Source organism: Homo sapiens, chromosome 21, assembly GCF_000001405.40.
Source record: "Homo sapiens chromosome 21, GRCh38.p14 Primary Assembly".
In the NCBI taxonomy this organism is placed as follows: Eukaryota; Metazoa; Chordata; class Mammalia; order Primates; family Hominidae; genus Homo; species Homo sapiens.
The window spans coordinates 9,686,241-9,694,501 of record NC_000021.9 but is presented as its reverse complement, the minus strand read 5'-3'; positions in this window follow the sequence as shown (position 1 = coordinate 9,694,501).

The window sequence follows — 8,261 nt, the reverse complement described above, 5'->3', positions numbered from 1 at the left end:
AGTGTATCTGATGGGGGGCAGTACTGAACCAGTTTTATAATTTCTTCTGTAGAGGCCAAACCAAAAAAGCCTAGAATGAATGAATGTAACTGTGAATGAATAAACAAATGTGTTTCCAAAAATAAATGATTCTTATATTAGATCATATTTTGAAAGATCTCAAAGTCCTTTTTATAAACTCCATTTGTCAAGAAAAATAACTCCTTTTATTAGGTTCCCTCTCAAGGATGTAGAACATACAGACTTGGGCATGAGGAAACATTTAAGAATCTCAGTATTTAACATTTACTAGGAGCACGTGCCTTTCTGAAGCGTACTCTCACATGTCTCCTTCAAATCTCCATGGATCCTTGCCTCAGGTGAGTGACATTTTAGGTGGAAATCAAGGAAGAGGTGGAATTTTATATCTGGGCAGACGTCATGTGGGCCAGGTTCAGCCTACATAAAAAAGTGATGCGGACCATAAACTCGGCATCTACGGCAAGTGGCCTGCTTGCTAGGCCTCTCTTATCTAGATCACAGGAGCAGGAAATGCCAGTTGATATCTGGATTACATATAGAGAATTCATTTGGCAATCACCCTCACAACTTCCAACCAGCAGCCAGAACAGGAAATATATTACCACGTACTTCCTTCCTGGGGCAGAGATAAAACTGCCCTGGAGGAGATAAGCCTTGAGGACCTGTGACTCCCGCTCCCACTTAGTGATCATGCTCAGAACCACTTCTGTTGACTGATATGAAATCTCTTCATTACAATTTACTAGAAATAATCCCTCACACCAAAAAGGGGAGTCATTTCCCCAAAGCCAAATCACTTGGTATTTTCCAACCCAAGACTAGAAACCAGCTGTCCTGCCACCCAAACACCCAATGCACGCTCCACCATCCTTGCTGCTGGGCTTTAACAAAAGAATCTCAAAATCAGAGTGGGATTTGAAGACTAGAAGAAGAAAGCAAAACAAGACTATCTGGCAAGGCTGGGTGAGGAGCTTTGCAGCAAACCAGGACTGAGGTCTTGACACAGAAGGCCTGGAGAGGCTGCCATTATTCCCCAGTGAATTAAGAAAGACTTGCAGCAGCTACCTCTTAAGATACAACAGAAGAGAAGCCACCTGAGGTAAGCGGGTCAGTGAGAAGGAAGCTTCAGACAAAGGAAGCTGTGAGTGAGGACAAAATGAAGAGGAACGAACCCAGCCACACAGTGACAAAGAAACCACAGGGTTTGGCAAGTGTCTGCTTGACCTTCTCTAAAGCAAATTAAAAATGTAGAGCTGAATCTCTAAATTTAATATTTAGGAAGAAAGAATTGCAATTCACAATATAGAGGCAGACAGGGTGGTCCGAAGGTGGAAAAAGAGGACTGTTCCTTTGTGGTCCTGTGAGAAAGTTCTTTGATATTAGCAAAGTTTTGGGGGCTGGTAAGGTCTGATTGGTGGGTGACTGTGGTGGGCAAAACTAGTCCTTGATTTGCAGTTGTTATCTCACCTGCTACAGATGAAAGTGGTCTCTGGTTACAACAGGCAGTTTCAGCCACGGGACTTGCAGACAACAGCATTTCTAGAGTGACGTTATGTACCCTGAGTGCCTTTTACTCAGACCCCTCTTCTCTGATTTAGTTGGGTATGACAAGAATGGACCAATTTGGATAATCAACTTGCACAATGCTGACTCAAGAACTGTAGCATTGAGTGTAAGGGTGCATCATTTTCATAAACACAGAGGAAAATGTGGCTGGTGGCTGATGGCAGAGCTGAGTCCCGAGAGCTCAGCCCTGAGCTGCCTTTCATCTGGTCACCATGTTCAGGGGTTCTTCTCCATGTAAATAAACATCTGTGATGAAAACCTCCACAGGTCTCATCATCAAAGTGGGTCTTCTAGAAACCAATTTGCTTTCAAAACAAGAGATCGAGTGATAATCTATCTAATGTTCTAGAAATGTTGGAGGCACCCTAGACAAATGTCAATCTTAAAGTTTTCCTTTTGCCTTATTTCTCTAAGTAACACCTTCTCAAATCATGAAAGCAAGAGTGATCTAAATTTTTTTTAAAAAATCCATATTAGAAGGAAGATCTATTAAGGATCTAGTGAGTAAATGACACTTTTGGAATGTTTAGAACTTCAAGGGGGAAACCACATGTTTTCACATCCCACTATATCATTTCCATAAGGATGAGGAAAAGCAGTACCCCTATTTGCAGAAGAGAGACTGCCGTGAAGTCAGTGGACACTATCTCCAGGTCAGAATCCAACCTAAAGGCCTTTAATCAATGGTAAGTGCTCTGAGGCACAAAATCCTATGCTCCTCATCAGTCATGCTTTATGTCCTCTGAATATTCTGAATTCACCAGAACCTAGTAGACCTATTTTAAGTTTCTCCAAAAATGTCAAAACTCTGTTTTATAGAAAACCAGAACTTTCATGTCAAGTGTTCCTGAGAACATTAATAACAAAAGCCAAAACAAGTTTCTTAAAGTCTGTCAGCCAGTTCTGTAAATATGACACAAGTAAATACTTCTGGACATCATTTAGATATTAACGTAACATGCATAAGCTAGAAAAGGCAGCATTAAATTTGGATGTTTTTGACTTTTGTTTCTCAACTTTTTAAAGATTAAATCATGGGATTTTATTCTCTTCTATTCCCTCTAGGGAAAGCAATGTGCTGATATTTTTCTGAAAGATGCTAACAGTGGAAGGAACTATTGAAAACAATTAGGGGAAAATCGCACCTTGAACTTAGTAGAACGTGTACACCATGTTCTCACAGGAAATCTCAGACATGATATTAAAAATTCCAGTTGTTTCATTTTTTTGCAGAACAGTCTGTAGTTATGTACTGAGTGCACTGTGCAGGGGGCACACAGGGCATACCAAAGGCTTCTTTTGTTTATGATACAGATTCCCACTGTACTCGGAAGGTTTTCTTTCAAATGCCTCATCACAGTGTGTCCAAACTTCTTGTAGGGAGCAACAGGGCCTCTATTTAAGCCTCTTGTTAGCCGATCCACCAGCCAAGGTCATGTTGCTTTCCCTTAAGAATCAGAGCCCCGGGGATCCTGTTCTATCTGTTCTTTCCGCCGCCTCCTGTCTTTCAGCAGGGCAGATGCCTCCCAGAAGTAAACCAGATGCCAGGACTGTGGGGGACTCTTGAGCAGCATCAGCCAAACTGTAGGAGCTGAGAAGAGGAAGCTTTGCTCAGGGTAAGCGCCCTGGGATAATGTCTTTAATGTCAAGAGGATGCACACTGGAAACGTGGAAAGCCCTCCAGGCTGAAAGAGGGAGTCACACAGGTGGGGAGTGTTGCCAAGCATTTGCGAGCACTCTCTTCGGTGGGCAGACAGCCGGCTTGCTCATGATTCCGCCTTTTCTGTTATTGTCAACAAGCCGCCACTGGAAATTTGTATCCTTAAGGCTTTGAGGTCTTGCCTCAGGTGGGGGTCCCGGAATAAGCTCATTAAGTTTTTGCCTCATTACCTCCAGGCTCCAAATCACTGGTACAAATTTCTCAGTCTGACTTAATGCTTAGGGAAATGTCGTATTTTTGGACCCTTCATTTTAAAAAAGTATATATATTTACCAGTGCTATCTCCGCCAATTCCGAATAAACCTTAGACTTCAGGTCATGAGTCACTAGGAGTCTGAATATGTCTTTTATTTGGATTCAAATAAGATTTTAACTTCCTGGCACCATGGTTTTCTGAAGGTGCCAGTGTGAGACCTGGGTCATCAGAATGACTTGGTGCTGGGAAGCCACAGAATGGTGCAGTAAGATCTTGCTGTCTCGGTTTCTGCCTTAGAAACAATATCATACACCCTCTCTCATTTCACAGAATGCTAAAATTTAGCATATGTTATAGTATTTATTGACAATAATAAGGCAGGATAGCAAAGTGGTTAAGGAATGACTACACTCAACAACCATAACCTCCTATCGTGCCAGGGACGGCAGGCAAATACCATGCACGGAAGTCAGTGTCAGCAGAGATCAGCGGGCATTCTCAGAACACTGTGGGAACTAAGGGTCTGAGCCATCAGGACTGTCCACAGATATTCCACTCCTTCTGCTCATATAATATGCTTGCATTCCCCATGTTTTATGATTTGAGTTCAGGATTTGTTTAATTCAGGTATGGTAAAGTGATAGACACAGACAGGAACAACTGCCTTTGAAATAAGAGCTTGTTTCTTACAGTTCCTAAGAAAAAGGAGCATTGGCATGCCACACAGGGCTGCCCAGGCAGCGCCAGGATTGGGCAGGAGGCAGGAGTACAGGAAGCATGGATCGAAGCCTCCATGAACCCAGAGGGGAGAAGTCACAAAGTAGGGACAGCCCTTATTCGGCAGGAAACAAGTCACAGATTTGTTTGTGGCTGGAGGGTTTGTGATATGACTTTTATGCTACCTCAAAAGTGGGACTGAAGGGTGATGTAGACACCTTTGGCCATTAGTTTGGCCCTGTGATTAGTGCATGTCAAATCATCAATTACAAGATCTGTAGAAGTTGGTTGGAACACCCCACCTTGTGCAGACAGTCTGTTCACGCAAGTCGGGCAGGAATCATGAGTGGAAGCGGCATGTGTCACTTCCTGCAAAGGACCAGCACAGGGGACACCACACTCCCTTTGCCTGCCACAGTGGCCACGAAAGCACCTCCATCAGCGTGCATTCCCAAGTGAGTACCTGGGTGGCCTGACGGGTCTAGAGTCTTTCAAGGCTCTGCTGGCATCTCATCTGTGAACATCCCACTGGCCACAGCAAATCTCATGGTGGGATGGTTAATTGTATGTGTCAACTTGACTGGGCCACAGGGTGCCCAGAAATTTGTTTCAACATTATTCTGGGTGTGTCTGGGAGGGTGATTGCAAATGAGATTAGCATTTACATTGGCAGACTGAGCATAGCAGGTTGTCCCCCCCGCCCCACCCGATGTGGCTGGGCCTCAGCCAATCAGCTGGAGGCCTGAATGGAGCAAGTCAGAGGGAACTCTTTCTGCTTGGACTGCTGTGAACCCAGGCATTGGGTTTTGTGTTTCGTGTTTCTGCCTGTGGACCTGAACTGAAACATCAGATTTTCCCTTGGAAGCCCACCAGCATTTGGACTAGAATTAGCCCATCAGCTTTCCTAGGTCTGCAGTTTGCAAATGCATATCTATCTTGAGACTTCTGTTTTCATAATCACGTGAGCCAATTTCATATGGTATATATTTATAAAATAGTATTATAGGCCGGGTGCAGTGGCTCACACCTGTAATCCCAGCATTTTGGGAGACCAAGGCGGGCGGATTACAAGGTCAGGAGATCGAGACCATCCTGGCAAACATGGTGAAACCCCGTCTGTACTAAAAATACAAAAATTAACGGGGCGTGGTGGCGGGCGCCTGTAGTCGCAGCTACTCGGGAGGCTGAGGCAGGAGAATCACTTGAACCCGGCAGGCGGAGGTTGCTGTGAACAGAGATCATGCCACTGCATGCCAGCCTGGCAACAGAGCAAGGATCTGTCTCAAAAAAATAAATAAATAAAAATAATATTATGAACAATATTATTTTATATGTATACACACCTATCCTATTGTTTCTGTTTTTCTGGAGAACCTAGACTAATTCACAGGGCTAAGCCCAAAGTCAAACTTGGTGACCTCTATAAAATTACATGGCAAAGGCTGGAGAAAAAGGAAACAGTAAACATTTGGGGTCACATTTACAATTTACCACAGATGGCAAGAAGATAGAGCTGCTTTTCCCGATATCTGGATGTCGGTTTCCAGCCACCCAAATCTTCCTAAAGACGTGGAAATGCTGTGGCCGCTGCAGCAGTGGGCAGAGGAGTGGTCAGGCCGGGAAGAGGAGGTGCTCGGGTCATCTTTCCCATCCCCAGGATGGCTGGTGGCCCCCTGTGCTACGTGCATTTGAAGGCCTCACCTGCCTCATGGGTCTGAGGGAGGCAGCACATAATTAACCACTACTAGGAATTTTAGAATGTATTTTTAGTTCTCTGGAAATGTCTCCCTCATTATTCTTTGTTATTCAACTTTGAAACACATGTGTAGGAATCCACTGTGTGTAGAAGTAAGAAACTGCCTATAACCAATGCTTTTCACACCAACAATCTCTCGCTCAAACGAATACAAGCCAGGCTCTTAATGTTCTTGTTATAGAAGAATAACTCGGTAAGGTAAATAAAGCTGATATTAAAAATCTAATTTTACATATAAGAAGACATAGAGACAGACGTTAAATGGTTTGCCCTGTGTCTGAAAGCTCATTAATTGCAGAAGTGTTGAAGGATTGCAGGGCTCCTGACTCTTTGGTCAGGATGCATTATGCAGCCACTCACAGAATCATTTTGAGATGGAGAGCCAGAATTCTGGAGAACAGCAGAGTGCTCCTGCAGCATGTCTGTGCAATGAGAGCACAGCAACCCTTCTAGAGAATTTGGTCAGGGATTGGGTCAGGAAATGTTCATGGAGCACCTTCTCCTTTCTCTGTGTCAGGCACTGTGCTATGTTATGGAGACACAGGGGTGGGCAAAACCAGACCCCATACCTGCCCTTAGCAGTATATTCTGTAAGGGGGCTGGAGGATGTAGACCTGAATCAAATATTTGCATGCACAAGTAGAAACATGCAACCCATGTGTACAGTGAAGGGGAGGCCCTTGGTGCTGCAAAGACCCATAATCACAGGCCCCGGGCTGGGCAGAGGGCAGGGAGAGCTTTCCTGGGGAGCAGTGCTTGAAATATGGTACAAAGAAGGGGTTGGAGTTATTGAGATAAATAGAAGAAACAGTGTTCCAGGTTAGAGGGTTTAGAAAGTGCAAAGGCCTTATACCTGGGAAAAAGGAAAGACAAAGGGGTGGAAGGAAAAGCAGTGGCTGAAGCACAGTGGCTCATGAAAGATGAGACTGGATAGAATAGGAGCAGGTCCTCGGGCCTGGAGGATATCTTCAGACATTTGTGCCTTATCCAAAGAGAAATGGCAAGACATGGACGATGTGAAAGCCAGGGGCTGTCCTCTAGACCATGAGACCTCAGCCAGCTGCCGCCCAGAGCCAAGTTGCTGCTTTGTGTGCCGCTCTCTCGAAGTGTGGAAGAGCAGATGGGGTGTTTTTACTTCTGCCCCAAAACTTACACATTTCACTAAAATATTCCTACTCCATGCTTAGCAATGAGAAACCTTCTCTATGCCATTCTTACCCTTTTGAAATGATACCAGATGCCAAGAAACACCACAGGAGTACGGCAAAGAGGTTGAGCTTCAAGGGCAGATGTAGTCTAAGTGTCAGCTGTACCACAAATTGTGACAATAAGCACTTCACCAGGCTTCTTATTTTACTCCCTCTTCCGTGCAATGAGGCAGCTTGACTCTGGGGCTGGAAATAGTTCTCTCCTCAAGGTGGAGGCAAACGGAGTATCGGACAAATTGATAATCCACGCAATCCAAATTGTAATTAGTATAGTCTTTCTCTGGTTATTGAGACAAGTTTTTCACATGAGCTTAGCTTCTGTTTAGCATTTTAACTGTGGGAGAGGGAAAGTCCTTGAAAGTCCTGTGACTCTTTGGTAAAATAAGAACGTACTAATGAAATATGAGAAACATCGAAAGAAATTAAAAGACATTAAAAATCTATTGTGTATCCTGCACTCCAAAGTCATTTTTAAATGGTAATTACACCTTTGAAGAGCATCTAATTAGTATGAAAAGAACTTTGGATGAATGTGGAGCTCTTCATCTGACTTCAATTGATACACAGTGATAATATTCAAGACCAATTTCTGCAGCTTTTATTGCCTGACTGAGCATTGCTCTGTTTCTGAAGTTTAAAGGGATTTTCTAATCTTTTGCTTATCAGAGGCTGAGCAAAGACCTGTCATGGTTTATGGAGGTAAAAGAGAGGAGGTAAAAGTATTTTTAAGTGCCCTGTGGAAAGTGCTGTCAAGTCCAGGCTGTGTCAAGCTCATGCTTTGTGGTGAAACAAGGATCTAAGCCACAAACTCCTGAAAAGAAAGTTTCTAGTCCCTTTTTGTCTGGGTCATTCAGGAGCATCGAGACAGACACACAGGAGTCTGGTAAGACTCCTGTTCTTCATCCCTGTCATCAGTAACGTAACACTCTTAGTGCTCGCTGTGTGCCTGGCTCTGTGTTAAGTGCTATTTCAGTTAAATGTTAGCACTGTGAAATGGTTTCAGAAAAAGGCATTTGTGGTCACTCTCAAGTAAATGCCCAAATGGTCTAACTAGCTTATTAAGCAGGAGCACTCATT